General features: G+C 42.0%; 3 protein-coding genes and 1 further gene across 3 annotated transcripts, besides 3 other annotated features; all 4 read right to left on the bottom strand.

Moving 5' to 3' along the window:
• The window catches only part of PCDHB@ (protocadherin beta cluster), a 197972-nt gene that overhangs the window by 40933 nt on the left and 135416 nt on the right, over positions 1 to 21623 (bottom strand).
• PCDHB11 (protocadherin beta 11) lies at positions 4654 to 8806 on the bottom strand. Its single transcript, NM_018931.3, has one exon. It carries the CDS (start codon positions 8656 to 8658, stop codon positions 6265 to 6267), a length of 2394 nt encoding a protein of 797 aa, NP_061754.1. The 5' UTR covers positions 8659 to 8806; the 3' UTR covers positions 4654 to 6264.
• Positions 12786 to 16080, bottom strand: PCDHB10 (protocadherin beta 10). The gene has a single exon (NM_018930.4). The coding sequence runs from the start codon at positions 15878 to 15880 to the stop codon at positions 13478 to 13480; it is 2403 nt and encodes an 800-aa protein (NP_061753.1). The 5' UTR covers positions 15881 to 16080; the 3' UTR covers positions 12786 to 13477.
• Positions 13692 to 14217: an enhancer, noted in NCBI's record as "H3K4me1 hESC enhancer chr5:140573789-140574314 (GRCh37/hg19 assembly coordinates)". NCBI's record gives its function as "activates a minimal SCP1, AML or CMV promoter by ChIP-STARR-seq in naive and primed H9 embryonic stem cells {active_cell/tissue: H9 hESC(naive and primed)}" and the evidence as "EXISTENCE:reporter gene assay evidence [ECO:0000049][PMID:30033119]".
• PCDHB9 (protocadherin beta 9) lies at positions 16892 to 21272 on the bottom strand. Its single transcript, NM_019119.5, has one exon. It carries the CDS (start codon positions 21112 to 21114, stop codon positions 18721 to 18723), a length of 2394 nt encoding a protein of 797 aa, NP_061992.3. The 5' UTR covers positions 21115 to 21272; the 3' UTR covers positions 16892 to 18720.
• Positions 18739 to 19297: an enhancer, noted in NCBI's record as "H3K27ac-H3K4me1 hESC enhancer chr5:140568709-140569267 (GRCh37/hg19 assembly coordinates)". NCBI's record gives its function as "activates a minimal SCP1, AML or CMV promoter by ChIP-STARR-seq in naive and primed H9 embryonic stem cells {active_cell/tissue: H9 hESC(naive and primed)}" and the evidence as "EXISTENCE:reporter gene assay evidence [ECO:0000049][PMID:30033119]".
• Positions 19298 to 19858: an enhancer, noted in NCBI's record as "H3K27ac-H3K4me1 hESC enhancer chr5:140568148-140568708 (GRCh37/hg19 assembly coordinates)". NCBI's record gives its function as "activates a minimal SCP1, AML or CMV promoter by ChIP-STARR-seq in naive H9 embryonic stem cells {active_cell/tissue: H9 hESC(naive)}" and the evidence as "EXISTENCE:reporter gene assay evidence [ECO:0000049][PMID:30033119]".

Here is a 21623-nt window from a genome sequence, read left to right as displayed (position 1 = left end):
CAACCAAATGTGTTCAGTTGTGGTAAACACAGATACAAGATGTGATCCCTGGCTCCCAGGAATTCATAGTGTTTCTGAGACAATTGTAAGCCTGAAACAAGCAGGGTATAAGTGATTGTTAAGCTGAATGAAATTCTATTACTACTTGGCTTTCCTTACGTGATAAGGTAAAGGAAAGGTCATCTCAGAAATCCTTTCTGAAGTTATGAAACTGGATTAACCATGAGATGAGGCATATATAGGTCAACACAACAGCATAAAAAGGCACTTCTGTAGATTTCCTTAATAGCAATGAATTGTGAACAGGCAGAAAATGAAGCAAGAGATTGGGGTGGAACATGTTATGTAAACCCATCATTTAGTTCCAGTTTTTCATAATTTACAAAAAAATTCATAAGTACACAAGCATGAGCAAGTTAGTTTAATTTAAAGCAGACTCTTATTCCTAAAGCTGACTTGCCTTAGGTTCCCAAAATTTATTGTAGCCACAACTGTAGCTATCTGTTTTCTCTTTCAGCCCAGGAAGAGAAAGTAAGAGTCTATCCCTAAACATAGAACAAAAACCTAACTTTCACTCTAATTAGACCAAGTAAGATCATGTGTCTGCCACTGAAGCAATCATTGTTTCAAGAGGTATAGAATTATAGTTGGAGATTTTAGTCCTAGAATCTAAAGACCTGTCTCTGGCCATTACTGTGTTTTAATCCTGTCTGGGACCACCTCTTAAGCTTGGGAAGGTTTCAGTCCTAGCCAAAGTACCTCATTGGTACAAAATGAGGGAGACTGTTTGCAACAGATGCTAAGGGCTCATCAGTGATATTCACTATAGAAAGTCTTAAAGTGCACTAAGAATGGATGGGAGAAGAATCCAACAAGTCTGCATTTTAAAATGTTAAATTCAATTAATATTCTTAAAAATGTAAGCTGGATACATGGTTGAAATAGTAATTGGTACAGAAGGGTAAAACTTGAAAAGTAGATGAATTGAGCACACACAATTAACCTCTCTTTTTAAAAAAAAATATGCACTAAAATGGCAGAAAAGTAATTAAAATGGTAGGAACTAACAAAGATTAAGAATACACAAGTGAACACATACATTTTTCTATGACAGAAAGCAGGTGGAAGAGCAATTAACTTAGCAGTTCCAAAAAGTGCCCCTAAAGTAAAGTTCCTGCATTGAAGATACTCACAAGAAACATAATCTCTTTTAAGCGCAAGATCTGGAGGAACCAGATGTTTAAGAAGACTGAAGTCAGTTAAGGATGGAAAAAAGTTATTAGTTGGAAGTATGTGTAGAGGATAATTGAATTCTCTGTTCTTCTCATCACCCTACATAGATGGAAACATAACTCACAGCCAGAAAATAGAAAGTTTATTCTCTGGAGAAATTTAATGGGACTTTCTCTAGTCTTGGGGATCTAGGCACAGCTGAGCACAAGTGTGAGGTGTCAAACTGAAAATAGGGAGAGTAAGCAAACCTTTGCATTTTGCATGGTGAGACTTCTAATCCCTTTTCATGCAATACTCTTAGACTGTAGGACACAAAGTGTATGCCTGACCCCTAGTCTATCCCCATAGTGTATATTGTAGAATTCTAACCTGGAGAATATGAAAGCCCAAATGAAGACACATATTAATATTTGGCATCTCATAAGGTAATAGACTTATCCTAGCATGGTTATATTAGAATGAAGCCCTGCCATCAACAGGTACTGTTCGCTCACAGAGTTGATTGTCAGCATTTTGATATATCATCCTTCTAAAATACGAGAAGATAGCCAAGGCATTTGAGGAAATGCCTGCAACATAACATAGAAAGACCAAAACTACCACCATCGCTACCATCAAGAAAAAAAAAAGGAACAATAATATAGAAAGCAGAAGAAAGCCTTTGAAAATGTCTGGTTAATATTCCCAGAGAAAGAAAATCTAATAAAAGCTAATACTTATTTAGTATTTACTCTATGCTACTCATTGTTCTAAGTGCCTCATAATGCATTTATCCATTTAATCTAAATAGTAGCTGTATGAAGTATGTATTTATCCACTTAATCTAAATAGTAACTATATGAAGTACATATTCCTATTGTAAGATGAAGACTAGATTAGGACTTCAGTGCTTTTTACTAGCTATATTACCTTGGACAAGTTCTTAACTCCCCTTAGACTCACTTTCACTTTTAAAATGGATATATAATAATGATACTGCCTAATGCATTTTTAAAGAAAAGATTAATTATAAATGAGAGAAAATATTACATTTATAAATCTATGACAGGATGCCATGAAAAACATTCAGAGAACCAAAAACAACTCTTAAAAGTAAATATTTTTCAGTCATAAAGAAAAACTTATACATAAAACATTGAGTGATTAAATAAATTGTCCAAAAAATGGAATGAGAGGCAAAGAGAAAATAAGAAAGGAAAAATGGCTTATAGTCTTATAGAGTCAATCTAGGAGGTCTAATATTTAACTGAGATTTTCATTGAAGTGAGAATCCAGAAAACTCAGAGGAGAAATTATGAGTAAAACATACCAAGGAAATTCCTTTTAACAAATTGTTTTTGTGTAGAGATAGGTTCCCACTATGTTGCCCAGGGTGGTCTCAAACTCGGGGCCTCAAATAATCCTGCCTCAGCTTCCCAAAGTACTGGGATTGCAGGTGTGAGTCACCATGCCCAACCAAAATTTCTCAGAAATAAAATTGATAGTCTGAACATTAGCCAAGGGGTCTAGCACATGCCTGTAGTCCCAGCAACTTGGAAGGCTGAGGCAGAAGTAGCTCTCGAGTTAGAGCTTGCAGGGTGCTGTGATTGTGCCTGTGAATAGCCACTGCACTCCAGCCTGGGTAACACAGTGAGACATCATCTTAAAAAAAAAAGAAAAGTTAAACATGAACAGGGCATAGCGATATAACCAGATTAATCAATAAAGAGCCAGTACTAAGGTATTTTCAGAAGACCAGGGGAATTTTTTTCAATGCTCACAGAAAGAAAGAAAAAAAGGGGGGGAATCACATAAAAAGACATAGGAATCAGAATGGAATCAGTCTTCTGAACAGCAATTCTATATGCAGTCAATAAAAGGAGCAGTGCTTTTGAAATCTGAGGGAAAATTATTTTCAACCTAGAATGTTATGCCCAAACTATCAATCAAATAAAAAAAAAGAAAATAACAAAGCAAGCTCTCAAAAAGTTTTATTTCCTCTGTATCCATTTTTATGAAGGTACTGAGAGATGTGCATCAACAAAATAAGTGAGTAAACTAAGAAAGAAGAATGTACTGGATCTTATAAAAAAGGACCAACAAAGAAAAATATTTTTTAAAGTCCTAGGGTGACAGCCTATAGAGCAACCAGTATGAATGAAGTAGAGATCTGGGTGCAAGATCACCAAGAAATAAACATAATTGACAGGTATCTGATATATTTGAATATTTTGAGAAGAAAGAGATTCAAATTAGAGAATGTAAAGAAACTAATATTAGTAAATGGAAAATTATGTAAGTACAAAACAATTTTCAGTTCTAGGAAAAATGTTTCTCAAGAAAGGAAATTTAATCACACTACACTAATGTGTATTTTGAAGAAAGCTTAGCAATATGGACACTATTAGTTTAACTTAAAAAAAACTGTAGGCTGGGCACTGTGGCTCACGCCTGTAATCTCAACACTTTGGGAGGCTGAGGCAGGAGGATCAGCTGGGGTCAGGAGTTCAAGACAAGCCTGGCCAACATGGTGAAACCCCATCTCTACTAAAGCTACAAAACTAGCCAGGTGTGGTGGTGGGTGCCTGTAATCCCAGCTATTCAGGAGGCTGAGGCAGGAGAATCACTTGAACCTGGGAAGCAGAGGTTACAGTGAGCTGAGATCACACCACTGTACTCCAACCTGGGCGACAGAGTAAGACTCTGTCAAAAAGAAAAAAAAAACTGTAACAATTTTATTGGGAGAATAGGAGAAAGGGAATGTGCAGTGCTTATATTGGTTTACATTAGTTGAAAAGAAAGTTAAATCTTTTTTAAAAAATACATAGCAAGAAGTGATTAAAATGTAAAATGGAGTAGCAAGATTTAACAGCAAAAACATATCATTTAGAAGTATTGAGGTAATTCTAGAAGAAGCCACTCAATAGAAGGAGACTGGAAATTAAAGAAAATATTGTTCTGTTCTTTTCTTTTCTTTCTTTCTTTTTTTTTTTTTTTTTTTTTTTTTTGAGACGGAGTATCGCTCTGTCACCCAGGCTGGAGTGCAGTGGCAAGATCTTGGCTCACTGCAACCTCTGCCTCCTGGGTTCAAGTGATTCTCCTGTCTCAGCCTCCTGAGTAGCTGGGATTATAGGCACGCACCACCACACCCAGCTACTTCTTGTATTTTTTAGTGTAGATGGGGTTTCACTGTGTTGGCCAGGCTGGTCTTGAACTCCCAACCTCAGGTGACCCGCCCGCCTCAGCCTTCCAAAGTGCTGAGATTACAGGTGTGATCTAACCCACCCAGCCAAGCCACTGAGGCAGGCCTTGTTTTTCTTTCAACCTTTAGTTCATCTTGATTTTTACATTTGAAAATAATGAAATAAATTTACAAAATAAAAGGAAAAGTGAATATCTTTCCAACAGTCCACCAATATCCTCATCCCAAAATTATCAAAATGTTTTAATATTCCTATTTATTTTCATGCAGTTTATTACATTTTGTTTGGATTATAAGCCATGATCTCTCTCTCTCTCTATATATATATATACACACACAAAAGCATTAAAAATATTAGCCAAGTAAGTGTAGTATATTTAAGAAAATAATACAAGCACAAAGTTAGTATTGAAGTATAATATTGATCACAAAATAATATTTAATTTACCATGAGCACATTAATAATGAAATGTTTCTCTTTAAATGCTGTGATTTAGAACTAGATGATGTGGCTTTTTAAATGAATAAATAGAATGTTAGAATAAGGTTGGAAGGGCAGATATGACTTCTCCCATGAAGAAACTACAATACACAGGTGGTTAGGATCATAGGATGCAGACAGTGAAAAATACTAGGGGAGCCTGGGCACGGTGGCTCACGCCTGTAATCCCAGCTTTTTGGGAGGCTGAGGCGGGCGGATCACTGATATCAAGAGTTAGAGACCAGCCTGACCAACATGGTGAAACCCCGTCTCTACTAAAAATGCAAAATTAGCTGGGTGTGGTGGTGCACCTGTAATCCCAGCTACTCGGGAGGCTGAGGCAGGAGAACCCGGGAGGCAGAGACTGCAGTGAGCCGAGATCACGCCATTGCACACCAGCCTGGGCGACAAGAGTGAAACATCGTCTCAAAAAACAAAACAAAACAAAACAACCTAAGAGAAAAATCAAAGTCAGTTTTCTAGAATAAGAAATAATAATCAGTAAATTATTGTACACTTGGAAAGGATTAAAACCTTAAAATTATTCATTAGAAATGGATTAACTACCTGTTACTTAATATAAAAAGGATTTACAATGTTATTCACAATGATATGCAATACTTGAAAATTGAAAATAGGCCTGGCCGCCTGTAATCCCAGCACTTTGGGAGGCTGAGGGGAGTGCATCTCTTGAGCTCAGAAGTTAAAGGCCAGCCTAAGAAATATGGTGACGATCCGTCTCTACAAAAAATACAAGAAGTAGCCGGGCATGGTGGCGCACGCCTGTAGTCCCAGCTACTTGGAGGCGGAGGTGGGCTGGTCTCTTGAGCCCAGGAGGCAGAGGTTGCAGTGAGCTGAGATCCTGCCACTGACCTCTAGTCTGGGTGACTAAGACTCTGTATCAAAAAAAAGAAAAGAAAAGAAAAAAAAAAGGCCGGGCGCAGTGGCTCACACCGGTAATCACAGCACTTTGGGAGGCCGTGGCGGGTGGAACATGAGGTCAAGAGTTTAAAACCTGCCCGGCCAACGTGGTGAAACCCCGTCTCTACTAAAGATAAAAAAAAAAAAAATTTAGCCGAGCGTGGTGGTGGGCGCCTGTAATGCCAGCTACTCGGGAGGCTGATGCAGGAGAATTGCTTGAACCCGAGAGGCGGAGGGTGCAGTGAGCTGAGATCACACCATTGCACTCCAGCCAGGGCGACAGAATGAGACTCGGTCTCAAAAAAAAAAAAAAAATTGGGGGAGAAAAGAAAAAATTAAAAATACAATTAGTCGTATTGCATAATAACGTAACTAGTTTAAGACTAAATAATATTGATATGGTTACATAAAACTAAAAAAGTACATGCAAATGTAAATAGCATTCTTACTAAAAATTAAATCCAAAGCTATTTCGAAAGGTGGAGTTTTCTTCACTATTCTTCCCAAGACCTTTTGCCTGGATATTAGGGATAACCGGTTTTAGGAACTTGAATTCATTTGTCTCGGAACCTCCCGTCAGACACACCTCGTACTGGTAGCTCTGGGAAAGGGTCCCGGTGCCGCTCACGTCCACCAGATGCCCTGGAAAGGGGCCCTTAGGCACCGAGCAGCTTCCCACCGAGGCCGCCCTGCTCCTCCTGCACAGCCGCACCGCCACGAACAGGAGCACCGAGAAGAGGAAGAGCGAAGACACCGAGGCCAACGCCACCACCAAGTAGACGGTGAGCGAGTCGGCCTGGGCCTGGGCCGGTGCCGCCTCAGGGAGCGGCAGGTAGGGCTGGGAGAAGCCGTCCACCAGGAGCACTTGCAGCGTGGCGGTGGCCGAGCGCGGAGGCTCGCCATTGTCCTTGACCAGCACCACCAGCCTGTGCTTGGCCGCGTCGCGCTCGCTCAGCAGCCTGGCGGTGCGCACCTCGCCATTGTGCGCCCACACGCCGAATAGCCCGGGCTCCGTGGCCTTGAGCAGCTGGTACGACAGCCAGGCGTTCTGGCCCGAGTCGCCGTCCACCGCCACCACCTTGGTCACCAGGTAGCCCGGCTCGGCCGCCCGGGGCACCAGCTCGGTGCAGGGCGCGGAGCCGTTCTGCAGCGGGTACAGCACGAAGGGCGAGTTGTCGTTGGCGTCCAGCACCAGCACGCGCACCAGCGCCTCGCTGCTCAAAGCCGGGGAGCCGCGGTCTGTGGCGCCCACGCGGAAGTCGAAAGCCTGCAGGGCCTCGTAGTCCAGCGACCTGAGGGCGAACAGGTGGCCGTTGTCTGTGTTGATGGAGACCAGGGAGGCGAGGGGCAGGTGCAGGTCCTGGGGCGGGAGTAGCGAGTAGTTGACCTGGGCGTTGGTGCCTGAGTCTCTGTCTGTAGCGCTGACACTGCCGATGTGCAGGGCGGGGCTGTTGTTCTCGCGGACGAACAGGGTGTAGGAGGTTTGGGTGAAGGTGGGGGCGTTGTCATTGACGTCAGAGACCAACACAGTTGTGTTGTGCTCGGTTTTCAGCCTGGGTATCCCCAAGTCGGTGACGGTGATGGTGATATTGTACTCGGCTGTGCTCTCTCTGTCCAGTGGTCTCTCTGTTTCCAACGTGTAGTAATTCTCAACTGAAGATTTTAGCACGAATGGGAGGTCTTCCGGAATGGAACAAACAATTCTTCCGTTGTCCCCAGAGTCTATATCTTGGATACTAAAAACCATAACCACGGTCTCTGGCGTATTTTCTGGGATTGGACTGGTAATTGATGACACAGTGATTTCAGGAGCATTGTCATTTACATCTATCACGTGAATTATGACTGTAGATTTTCCAAAAAGTCCTCCCCCATCTGTGGCTTGAATGATTATTGAGTATGACTCAATCGTTTCAAAATCCAGAGGTGCTCTTAAAGTAATTTCTCCAGACTTTTGATTAATTTCAAATGTCTTGCGAATATCTTCTGAGGCATGGGAAAAGGTATAGCATATTTCACCATTTGTTCCAGAGTCTAAATCCCAAGCTGAGACAATCAAAATCAGCGAGCCAAGGATGCTATTCTCCCGAATCTTCACCTCATAAAAAGCCTGCTCAAATTCAGGGGAGTTGTCATTAATGTCCACAACCACCACCCTGACCAAGGCAGTTCCAGACCTGGGAGGGGACCCACCATCCAGAGCAGAGAGGATGAAACTGAGCTCCGGGAGCTCTTCATAATCCAGCGCCTTGTCCAGAACTAACTCGGGGTATTTCCTATTGTCTGGAATGACTCTCATTTTAATGTGAAAATGAGAGTTGGGGCTTATTGTGTAGCTTTTTACAGCATTGATTCCTACATCTAAATCCTTCGCACTTTCTAGTAAGAACACAGCACCAACGGGACTGTTCTCTGGGATTTCTAGGAGCATTTGTTTTTCCGAGAAGATGGGAGAGTGATCATTTATATCCCTGACCTGAAGCTCAATTTGTAAAAACTGCGTGGGGTTTTGCATTAACACCTGCAAATGTAGCACGCAAGGCTCGATGGAACCGCAGAGCTCCTCCCTGTCTAGTGTTTCACTTAAGAGCAAATCCCCAGTGTTTATGTCCAGCTGCAAACGCTGTTTCTTATCATTAGAGACCACCCGAGCCCCCCGTGAGGACAGTTCTCTCACCTTCAGCCCCAGGTCCTTTGCCAGATTGCCTACAAAACTCCCGCTCTGCATTTCTTCTGCCACAGAAAAGCTCCAGGTTTCAGAGCCCGCCTGAGACATTCCGAGCAAAACAAAGAGAAGCAGGACTTGCCTTATCTGCTGAGTGCGTGTCCCTTGGTTCTCCATAGTTCCTTTCTTGTAGGCTTCTTGAAGAAAGGCTTCAGCTCTGCGGAACGCGTCTCTGACTTGTCCACCAAATCCTCTGTGGTCTAAGGATTTTAACCCTGTTGAATGGTTTCCAGGTCACCCTCTTGAAGGCTTGTTGTTTCTGTCTTCTGATTCTCTGTGTGCACTGGATATCAGTGTTCACAACGCCATCCAGTGAATATATTTTTCACGATGTTATCCTGCAGCGCCACCAAGTGTCTCCATAGATTTTCACAGTTTGGTGAAAGCTACCTAAATTCCATTCACTTATATGTCCTCCGGAAACAAATATTGTTTTATTCATTGTGTTCAAGTGATTACAAATATATTGCACGTTCTGTAATAATTATTTCATATTCTCTTTAGTTTGATATGCTGTTAATATTCATCTTAAAGCATTTATCTTTCCCCCTTCTCCATACAACCAAACGTGCTTAGTTGTGGTGAATACAGAAATACAAGATGTGATTCCTGGCTCCCAGTGGTTTGTAATCTTTCTGAGAAGACTGGAAACATAAAACAACCATAATATTTTTAAGCTGTACAAAATTCTATCACTACTTGACTTTCCTTAGGTGGTAATGAAAAGGCAAACTATACATGGGTCATTTTAGAAGTCCTCTCAGAGGATATGAAACTGGATTAACCATGAGATGGGACATACTTTGATAGTTATGATAGCACAAGAAGGCATTTATATAGATTTCCTTGGTAGCAAGGAATTGTGAACTGCTAGAAAGTAAAGTAAGATATTGGGAGTAGAACACATTATGAGAATCCTTGATTTAGTTCCAGCTTCTCAAAAAATAATAAATACACAAGCACAAGCATGTTAGTTTCATTTAAAGCAGGCTTATTTCTAAGACTGCCCTCCCTCAGTTTCCCAAGATTTATTCCAGCAACATCTATGGCTATCTGCTTTGTTTTTCAGCTCAAGAAGACAGAATGAGAGATATTTTCTTCCTCAATAATAGAACAAAATCTTAGCCTTCATTCTGATTAGACCAACTGAGAGCACTTCAGCCTGTTACTGAAGAAATCAGTGTCTCAAGATGTATAGGATTAAAGGTAGAGATTATAGTCCCAGAATCTAAAGACTCCATCTTTGACCCTTTGTTTTAATCCAGGCAGAGATTGCCCCTTAAACTTGAGGTGGTTTCAGTCCTAGCCAAAGTGCATGGCATAATGAGGGAGATAGTTGGAATAGGTGCTTGGAAACTACCAATGGTATCCACTGTTAGACATCTCAAAGTACTCTCAATAATGGAGGACATCTAAGAAGTCTGCTTTTAAAAATTCTAATTTCAAATTACATTCACAAAAATGTGAACTAGATACATGGTTGAAAAATTATCAGTGCAGAAGAGTAGAAATTGAATAGTATGTGGATTGACTATACAATTATCCTTCCTTCTTCTTAACCCCTCTCTAAAATGACAGAAAAGTAATAAAAGGTATGAATTCACAAAGACTAAGAATACATAAGTAAATACACAAATTATTTGATGATAGAAAGCAGATGAAAGAGCAATTGACAATAGTTCCAAGAAATGTCTAAAATAAAGTTCCTTCATTGGAGATACTAAAAATAAACTACTGGGTTTTCCCTACACAATCCTAGTAGGTACCAGACTTGGAGGAACCAGGTGTATAAGAAGGCTGAAGTCAAGTAAGGGCTTAAAAAAGAAGTTATTAGTTGAAAGTATGTATGTAGGATAGTTGAATTCTCTGGTCTTTTCACCATCATACAGAGACAAGAAAATAACTGAGAGCCAGAGAATGGAAAGCTTATACTCTGGAGAAATTAGATTATATTCTGGAGAAATTATACTATCTCCAGTCTTGGAAACCCCAGGCAGAGCTGAGTGAAAGTAGGAGGTATGAAACTAAAGATAGGGAGATTAGGCAAAACACTGCCTTCTGTATTGTGAGACTCCTAGCCATGATACTCTCAGATTGTAGGACACAAGATATATGCCTGACATCTTCCCCATCGCACCCAAAACATTGAATATTGTAGAATTCTATCCTGGGGAATATGAAAGGCGCAGATAAAGACTTACATGTACTGATATGTGGGGGTTTCCCAAGGTAGTAGCTCTATCCTAGCATGGTTACATTAGAGTGAAGCCCTGTCATCAATACTCATGAAGTGTTGACTGTCAGCATTTGCTGTGTCACCATTCATATATATAATAAGACAGTCAAAGATAACAAGACATTTGAGAAAATGCCTACAACATGAAATAGAAAAGCCAAAACTGTAATACTACCGCCAAGCACAAAAAGCAACAGGAGGGAATAGATATAATTCAGAAAACAAAAGAAAGCCTTTTAAAATGTCTGATTAGTATCCCCAGAGAAACAAAATGTAATAAGAGCTAACACTTATTGACTTATTCTAAGTTCATTATTCTAGTGCCTCATATGGATTTACCTAGTTGATGTTAACAGTAACCCTATCAAGTACGTATTTATACCTGGAAGACAAAGAATAGCTTAGGGCTTAAGTGCCCCTTACTAGCTATATAGCCTTAGGCAAATTCTTAACTTCCCTTTGATTCACTTGCAAGTTTAAAATAGGTATAATAATAACTCTTACTATATAATGCATTTTTAAAGAATAAATAGATTAATTATAGATGAAAGAAGATTTACATTTGCAAATTTGTAATAGGATGTTATGAAAAACCAAGAGCTCTTAAAAATAAATATTTGCTATCCAAAAAGAAAAACTTAAATATGGAGATTGGATGATTAAATAAATTGTCTAATAAGTAGAACAAGAGATGGAAAAGAAGAAAAAAATTATAATTTAGAGTCTCAGAAAATCAACACAGGAGGTGCAATATTTAATGAGATTCTGGTTAAAGTGAGACTGTAGAAAACTCAATGGATAAATTATTACTAAAACATAACAAGAAAATTTCTCAGAACTTACAGTAAGAGTCTATATGTTAACAGGGTATGCCTGCATGGCCAGATTAATAAATAAAATGCCTGTATTAAGGTCTTTTCAGATTACCAGGAAAAAGTTTTTCAATGCTTCCAGGAAAGGAGGTAAGAGAGAAGGACACAAAGAGAGATGGAATCAAAATCAAGTCAGTCTTCTGAAGAAACTCGACATGCAATGAGTAAAAGAGACAGCTTCAGCTTTCAAAATTTGAGGGAAAATTATTTTCAAACTAGAATTTTATACCCAGTCAAACTATCAAGCAAATGAAAACAAACAAAAAAGATGTCTTCACAATGTAAGGAGACAATTTTTTAAAAATCTCTTCTGCATTCGTTTATATGAAGGTCTTGAGAGATGCGTGCCAGCTGAATAAGAGAGTAAACTAGAAAAAAGAGTATACTGGACCTTGGAAAAGTAGACTCATACAGGAAAGTATTGAAGGGAAAAAGTCCCAGGGTAACAGTCTATAGATTAACCAGTCTAAATGAAACAGGAAACTCACGATGAAAGAGCTCCTGAAAATAAATGTCATTGACAGAGTATCTTAAAAATTGGAATATTTTTAAGGAGAAAATACATTCAAATGAAAGATATGGAAAAAAACAATAGAGGTACATAGAAAATAATGCAAGTATGAAATAACAATTACGAACTCTAGGAACCATACTTTTCAAGTATGGAAATGTAATTCTAGTACAGTATACAAATGCATATTCTGAAGCATGTAACAATATAGATAATAACCACTAATTTAACTAAGAAACTGTGACATCTATATTGGAGAATAGGAGAAAAAGAATTTGCAATGTTTGCATATGTTTGTTAGTTTGGAAATAAAGCTAAAATGCTTTTCTATTATAGAAAGAAATGGTTCAAATACAAAACAATATCAAGATATAGTATTATAAACATATTATTTATAAATATTGAGATCAATTCAAGAAGAAACCACACTGTGGTAAGGGACTGGCAGAACAGCTAACTTAAAAAACTATAAAATGTTAGTTATATATAGTATATATTTTATATATAGTAATATAAAAAAACTGATGAAACTTGTTTTTCATTCTAACCTTTAGTTCCTCTTGCTTATTAAAAATTTGGTATTTAAAATAAATTTGCAACATATAAATGAATATCTCCAGCAATCTCAACCACACATTTCAAAATGTTTTATTTTTATTCATTTTCAGGCAGATTATAATTTTATTTCAATTATAAGGCATAGTCTGTTTTATACATCAGCAAAAGTTAACATAAGAAAATATTGGCCAAGTAAAAGTAGCATGCTTAAAGATAAAATAATAAGTATATAAACTAAGGGTATTATTGATGTTCAGTATTGCTCACAATATGCTTTGTTTCATTTTGTCATGAGCATAGTAGTAGAGAAATATTTCTTTTTAAATACATGATGTAGAAATAAATGACATGGTTTTCAAACACGAATATATAGAATGTTAGAATGAGTTTGGAAATGTAGATATGCCTTCTTAAATAGAGCAAGTACACTATAGACAGAAGTGATTAGAATCATGAGATGCAAGCTCTGAAATGAATCAAAACCTCAGATTTCTGTAATGAGATATAATAGTAATTAATTCCTTGGGCAGTTGGAAAGAATTAAAACCTTAACACTATCATTTAGAAAAAAATACTCATTAAATTAAACCCAGTTGTTATTAATGCAAAAAAATGATGAAACATTGTAAAACCACAGGGGTATACTACTTGAAAATAATGCTTGAAGTTGCATAATAACTTAAATTTGAGATTTAAAAGTAAACTAATAGAAACATGGCTATGTAACACACCAAAAGTATATGAAACTAAAAACAGACTTTACTGAATATTAAATCCAAAGCTATTTCGGAAGGTGGAATTTTCTTCACCCTTCCTCCCAGGGCCCTGTGCCTGAATATCCGAAATAACTGGTTTCAAGAACTTGAACTCACTGGTCCCGGGGCCTCCCGTCAGACACACCTCATACTGGTAGCTCTGGGACAGGGTCTCAGCGCCCCTCACGTCCACCAGATGCCCTGGAAAAGGACCCTCGGGCACCGAGCAGCGACCCACCGAGGCCGCCCTGCTCCTCCTGCACAGCCGCACCGCCACGAACAGGAGCACCGAGAGGAGGAAGAGCGAAGACACCGAGGCCAACGCCACCACCAGGTAGACGGTGAGCAAGTCGGCCTCGGCCTGGGCCTGGGCCGGGGCCGCCTCCGGGAGAGGCAGGTAGGGCTGGGAGAAGCCGTCCACCAGGAGCAAGTGCAGCGTGGCGGTGGCCGAGCGAGGAGGCTCGCCATTGTCCTTGACAAGCACCACGAGCCTGTGCTTGGCTGCGTCGCGCTCGCTCAGCAGCCTGGCGGTGCGCACCTCCCCATTGTGCGCCCACACACCGAACAGCCCGGGCTCCGTGGCCTTGAGCAGCTGGTACGACAGCCAGGCGTTCTGGCCCGAGTCGCCGTCCACCGCCACCACCTTGGTCACCAGGTAGCCCGGCTCGGCCGCCCGGGGCACCAGCTCGGTGCAGGGCGCGGAGCCGTTCTGCAGCGGGTACAGCACGAAGGGCGAGTTGTCGTTGGCGTCCAGCACCAGCACGCGCACCAGCGCCTCTCTGCTCAGCGCGGGGGAGCCGCGGTCTGTGGCGCCCACGCGGAACTCGAAAGCCTGCAGGGCCTCGTAGTCCAGCGACCTGAGGGCGAACAGGTGGCCGTTGTCCGCGTTGATGGAGACCAGGGAGGCGAGGGGCAGGTGCGGGTCTTGGGGCGGCAGCAGCGAGTAGGTGACCTGGGCGTTGGTGCCCGAGTCTCTGTCTGTGGCGCTGACGCTGCCGATGTGCAGGGCGGGGCTGTTGTTCTCGCGGACGAACAGGGTGTAGGAGGTTTGGGTGAAGGCGGGGGCGTTGTCATTGACGTCGGAGACCAGGACCGTTATGTTGTGCTCGGTTTTCAGCCTGGGTGTCCCCAAGTCAGTGACGGTGATAGTGATGTTGTACTCGGCTCTGATCTCTCTGTCCAGCGCGCCTTCTGTAATTAGGATGTAAAAATTCTCCACAGAAGGTTTTAGTAGGAATGGCAGATTCTCTTGAATGTAGCAAACCATCTTTCCATTTTCTCCAGAGTCTCTGTCATTAATCTTAAAAACAGCCAGCGGCGTCTCAGGAGAATTCTCAGCAACAGAGTTGGAAAATGATGATACGATCAGTTCAGGGGGATTGTCATTGGTGTCCAATACTTCCACTAAAACCCTACATCTTGCAGAAAGGCCTCCACCGTCCATTGCCTGTATATTTATTTTGTAAGAATTTACTAACTCATAATCAAGCAATTCTCTGAGAAAGATTTCCCCAGAAAAAGGATTGATTTGAAAGGTTGTTCGAATATTTTCTGAGGCATCAAAAAATGAATAGGATACTTCCGCGTTGACTCCAGAGTCTACATCTTCTGCCCATACCTTAACAATAAGGAACCCAATGGGGCTGTTTTCTGGAGCCTGGGTCTCATACAGAGCCTGGGCAAACTGTGGGGCATTGTCATTGACGTCCAAGACAACGATGCGTACAGTAGAGGTCCCAGACCTGGATGGAGACCCACCATCCAGCGCTGTGAGGGTTAAGCTGAGCTCTCCCTGCTCCTCCCGATCCAGTGCTTTGTCCAACACTAGCTCTGGATATATCATGCCTTCATCACCGCCACTAATGTTAATATGGAAAAAAGAGTTGGGGCTGATCGTGTAGTTTTGGATACCGTTAAGTCCTCCATCTGGATCCTGTGCTCTTTCTAGTCTAAATGCTGTCCCTTCAGCTGTATTTTCTGATATTTTTAAGACTGTTTCTTTGTCCTGAAATACTGGCGCGTGATCATTTATATCCCTGACTCTCAGCTCAGCCCGGTAAATCTGAAAGGGATCATCCATTAAAATTTGGAAATACAGCATACAGGGCTCTTTAGGGCCACACAGCTTCTCTCGGTCCAGTTTCTCATTTGTGAGCAAATTCCCGGTATGTGAATCCAGGAGCAGGTATTGTTTGTTATCATCGGAAACCACCCTGGTTCCCCTTGCAGCCAGCTCCCCCTCTGCTAGTCCCAGATCCTTTGCCAGATTGACCACAAAGGATCCTTTCTCTGTTTCCTCAGTCACCGAATAACGTCCAAACCCAGAACCTGCCAAGGACACTCCCCAAAAAAGAAAAAGAAACAGGACTTGCCTTTGTCTTGGGAAGCACAACTCTCTGACAGCCATAGCTGCTGCATACGTTATTTCCTAGTTGGTTACAGCCACAGCTCCCAGCATAAAAGAACAGCAGTAGGAAACCCTGCACCTACGCCGTGTAGCCCAGGGGTCTTTTTTGTCCTTTCCCTTTCCCAATCTTTGGCAGCTAAAGCTTCTCTTTTAAGTTCATCTGTCCGTGTCTTCCTTTATTAGTGACTTGCATAGCATCCTCAGAGCAATTCCCAAACCGTCTCTTTAGCCTGCAGCGCCACCGTGTGGCCTCCACCAGATTTCAGTAGTTGTACCCATTTGGGTGTGTGTATTCAGACAATTTCCTTTAGTGCCTCATTTAAATTTTTCATGTTTATTTTCGTTTGTCTTGTAAAAATTAATGTTGAGACAGAGAAATAGTCACATTGTTGAGATTCTTCAATTCTTTTTGGGAAAAGTTAAAAATTCAACACTTGAAAATATGTTTCTAGCAATAACTCTGTCCACCTCACTGTGCTAAATTTAGCTCTCTACTAGTCCTTTCATCTCAGACACAACTCTCACACAATGTCAAGAATCAAAGGGAAAATGTTGCTGACATCTGGGATCACCAAAGTAACAGGAGATTTTACTTTTCCAGAAACATCGGGATAAGAACACCAAAACAGACAAAGAAAATATGTTTCACACCTTCCTCAACAAACTTCAAAATCTCATCACACTGATTAAGGAGAATCATCACTCTGTAATCTTGTATAATGCATTTAAGCTGTCCCTCCTCTATTCTCTCATAAAAACTTGTGTATACAACTATGATTGCCCTGCAAATATTATTGCTTCTTAATTCATGCAAATCTATTTCTTCTTCAATGTGTGGGCTACTTAAGGATAGGAACTATGTCCTAATCATCTGTGAGTGACAAATCAGACAAGCAATAAATACTGCCTGTATTAGGACATGCATAAATAAACTCAGATGGGTAGAACCTGAAACGTTTTCCAGTGCCTTTCAATTCCGACCACTTGAAAGTTTTTTTCTTTCATTTACTCTTTGCAATTTCTGTTTCCTTACTTTCACTTGTCTTTGTTTTTCTTGTATTAGCTTTAAAGTAACTTACAGGGTTAAATAAGAGATTGATCCTTATTTTAAGGTCCCCTCTTAATTGAAATTTAGCAGGATCTAACTTCTCTGCACCAAATAAAGGGAGGTAAAGAACAGACCACACTAACACCTATCTTAACACTATTAAAATTAAGAACAGCATTCTAGTGTCTTTTTTCATAGAATTTTATTCAAAGTTCTTTTTAAGTTATTTTATATTTTATTTTATTTTATTTTGATGGAGTTTTGCTCTTATTGCCCAGGCTGGAGTACAATGGTGCAATCTCGGCTCAAAGCAACTTCCACCTCCTGGGTTCAAGCGATTCTCCTGCCTCAGCCTCCCGAGTAGCTGGGATTACAAGCATGTGCCACCATGCCTGGCTAATTTTGTATTTTTAGTAAAGACGGGGTTACTTAACGTTGGTCAGGCTGGTCTCAAACTCGTGACCTAAGGTGATCTGCCCGCCTTGGCCTCCCAAAGTGCTGGGATTACAGGAATGAGCCACTGAGCCCTGCCTCAAAGACCTTATATCTAGAAAGAAGCTCTATTTTGTCTATAATAGGCCCAAATGGATTAAGTCAAGGAATGTCGTGGAGGAAAAGGCTAGACACTACCAATAACACTCTAATAGCTGAATATAAAAGCCGCACAATATAAACCTCTACTTTGTGATTGCTGTTGTTTTTTCAACTGGATGGCACTGGGCTATTAGCCATTAAAAATTTAACAGGAACCTCAGGAACCTCTGATTTGTTTATACAGAATTAAAAGGAGCAAATTAAATATTTTCACATGATCCTATAGAATGACTAAATTTTTTTTTTTTTTTTGGTTTCCAGACTAAAGCCCATTTACACACGCTTAATATCTTGCAGTGGTTTTTCTTCTAAGGCTAATTAGGGGTTTATTTATCATATCACTTACAAGAGAAACATTATATTTCAAATAGGGAACTATCAATGCCGGGAAACTAGAACTTTAAAATAAAAGGTAAAGTTTAAGAAAATTATTGTAGGCTGGGTGCGGTGGCTCATGCCTGTAAATCCCAGCAATTTGGGAGGCTGAGTGGGGTGGATCACGAGGTCAAGAGATAGACCATCCTGGCCACCATGATGAAACCCGTCTCTACTGAAAATACAAAAATTAGCCGAACGTGGTGACATGCAACTGTAGTCCCAGATACTCTGGAGGCTGAGGCAGGAGAATCGCTTGAACCTGGGAGGCGGAGGTTGCAGTGAGCTGAGATCGCGCCACTGCACTCCAGCCTGGGCGACAGAGCGAGACTCCGTCTCAAAAAAAAAAAAAACAAACAAACCAAAAAACAAACAAACAAACAAAAAACAGTTGTAATGAACAAGGATGGCAAACCAATAAGAACACCGGTTTCAAAAGAAAAATAGAAGAAATATCAAATAGTAAAAGCACATATTACATGCAGCAGACTATTTTAACAAGTAAAAAGTTTTAGGAAAAGAAGAACTAATGAATAATGTAGAGGCAATGAATTTAAAGTCAATAAAGACATTTAAAACGACCAAAAATTTTTAAATGATATCAACTTTGAAAAATATTATATTTCACTTATGGGATTCTAGTAAGAAATGCCTCATCAGGATACAAAATAAGAAAAAGTTAACTTGTGAAGTTAAGCATAATACGCAAAGTTGAAGATGAATCAAACAAAAAATAGTACCTTCTTTGTGGTGGGCATACACAATTTAGTTAGCCAACAAGAATATATTAAAGAAGTAAATGTCTTTATTAAGTGGGTTCCTTTCAATAATTAAATCCAAAGCTATTGGGGAGAGTAGAATTTTCCTCTATTTCTTTCCCACCCCTATGGGGCGGGAGGTGGGGGGTAATCGGCTTCAAGAACTTGAACTCGCCGGTCTCTGAACCTCCAGTCAGACACACCTCGTACTGGTAGCTCTGGAACAGGGTCCCGGTGCCGCTCACGTCCACCAGATGCCCTGGAAAAGGACCCTCGGGCACCGAGCAGCGACCCACCGAGGCCGCCCTGCTCCTCCTGCACAGCCGCACCGCCACGAACAGGAGCACCGAGAGGAGGAAGAGCGAAGACACCGAGGCCAACGCCACCACCAGGTAGACGGTGAGCAAGTCGGCCTGGGCCTGGGCCGGGGCCGCCTCCGGGAGAGGCAGGTAGGGCTGGGAGAAGCCGTCCACCAGGAGCACGTGCAGCGTGGCGGTGGCCGAGCGAGGAGGCTCGCCATTGTCCTTGACAAGCACCACCAGCCTGTGCTTGGCCGCGTCGCGCTCGCTCAGCAGCCTGGCGGTGCGCACCTCCCCATTGTGCGCCCACACACCGAACAGCCCGGGCTCCGTGGCCTTGAGCAGCTGGTACGACAGCCAGGCGTTCTGGCCCGAGTCGCCGTCCACCGCCACCACCTTGGTCACCAGGTAGCCCGGCTCGGCCGCCCGGGGCACCAGCTCGGTGCAGGGCGCGGAGCCGTTCTGCAGCGGGTACAGCACGAAGGGCGAGTTGTCGTTGGCGTCCAGCACCAGTACGCGCACCAGCGCCTCGCTGCTCAAAGCCGGGGAGCCGCGGTCTGAGGCGCCCACGCGGAAGTCGAAAGCCTGCAGGGCCTCGTAGTCCAGCGACCTGAGGGCAAACAGGTGGCCATTGTCCGCGTTGATGGAGACCAGGGAGGCGAGGGGCAGGTGTGGGTCCTGGGGCGGCAGCAGCGAGTAGGTGACCTGGGCGTTGGTGCCTGAGTCTCTGTCTGTGGCGCTGACACTGCCGATGTGCAGGGCGGGGCTGTTGTTCTCCCGGACGAACAGGGTGTAGGAGGTTTGGGTGAAGGCGGGGGCGTTGTCATTGACGTCGGAGACCTGCAGGGTTATGCTGTGCTCGGTTTTCAGCCTGGGTGTCCCCAAGTCAGTGACGGTGATGGTGATGTTGTACTCAGCTTTGCTCTCTCTGTCCAGTGCACCTTCAGTCATTAGGATGTAAAAATTGTCAACAGACGGTTTCAGAAAAAAAGGCAGATTATCTTGAACATAGCAAATTGTCTTTCCATTTTCTCCGGAGTCTCTGTCTTTAATCTTAAAAACAGCCAATACTATCCCAGGAGAGTTTTCAGCAACAGAGTTGGAAAGTGATGATATGATCAGTTCAGGAGGATTGTCATTGGAATCTAATACTTTTATCAAAACTGTACATCTTGCAGAAAGGCCTCCGCCGTCCATTGCCTGTATATTTATTTTGTAAGAATTTACTAACTCATAATCAAGCAATTCTCTGAGAAAGATTTCCCCAGAAAAAGGATTGATTTGAAACGTTGTTAAAATATCTTCAGAAGCATCAAAAAATGAATAGGATACTTCTGCATTGACTCCTGAGTCTGCATCTCCTGCAGACACTTTAACAATAAGGGACCCTACTGGACTGTTTTCTGGAGCCTGGGTCTCATACAGAGCCTGGGCAAACTGTGGGACATTGTCATTGACATCCAAGACCACAATGCGTATAGTGGAGGTCCCAGACCTGGATGGAGACCCACCATCCAGCGCTGTGAGGGTTAAGCTGAGCTCTTCCTGCTCCTCCCGATCCAGTGCTTTGTCCAACACTAGCTCTGGATATATCATGCCTTCATCACTGCCACTAATTTTAATATGGAAAAAAGAGTTGGAGCTGATCGTGTAGTTTTGGATACTGTTATGACCTTCATCTGGATCCTGTGCTCTTTCTAGTCTAAATGCTGTCCCTTCAGCTGTATTTTCTGATATTTTTAAGACCATCTCTTTGTGCCGAAACACTGGCGAGTGATCATTTATATCCCTGACTCTCAGCTCAGCCCGGTAAATCTGAAAGGGATCATCCATTAAAATTTGGAAATACAGCATACAGGGCTCTTTAGGGCCACACAGCTTCTCTCGGTCCAGTTTCTCATTTGTGAGCAAATTCCCGGTATGTGAATCCAGGAGCAGGTATTGTTTGTTATCATCGGAAACCACCCTGGTTCCCCTTGCAGCCAGCTCCCCCTCTGCTAGTCCCAGATCCTTTGCCAGATTGACCACAAAGGATCCTTTCTCTGTTTCCTCAGTCACCGAATAACGTCCAAACCCAGAACCTGCCAAGGACACTCCCCAGAAAAGAAAAAGAAACAGGACTTGCCTTTGTCTTGGAAAGCTGAACCCCCTGGTCTTCATAGCTGCTTCTTTCCTCAATGTCAGTCTCAATCACACTGCCCCAGCACAAATAGCAATCGCAAACCCAGACTTATGTGTACCAGAGATCTAGGGTTTTTAATTTTTCCTTTCCCAATCAGGGACTCGACAGCTCTTCTTCTCAGCCCATCTGTCTCAGTGTTTCCTTTTTGTCAAGGACTTCCGTAGCATTCTGGTCAATTTTGTTCCTCCGTCTCTTCAGTCTGCAGCGCCACCTTGTGGCTTCCAACACAGTCAAATGGCTGTGCCCAATTTTTGTGTTTATTTAAAAATTCTTCATTGCTTCATGAGAAAAGATAAAAATTGAACAGTTGAAAAAATGTTTCTAGCAGTAACCCTGTTCAACTCTGTGTTAGATTTAGCTGTGTTAGGCCTTTCGCCTCTGACACAACTCTTACGCAAACAAAGGGAAAATTGTGGGTGCCTTCTGGAACCACCAAAATAATCAATTTCACTGTCTCAAAAGCTTTGGGCATAGGAACACCAAAAAT

The sequence above is a fragment of the Homo sapiens genome, chromosome 5, assembly GCF_000001405.40.
Source record: "Homo sapiens chromosome 5, GRCh38.p14 Primary Assembly".
In the NCBI taxonomy this organism is placed as follows: Eukaryota; Metazoa; Chordata; class Mammalia; order Primates; family Hominidae; genus Homo; species Homo sapiens.
The sequence above is the reverse complement of the archived record's forward strand: the minus strand, read 5'-3'. Positions and strand labels throughout refer to the sequence as shown.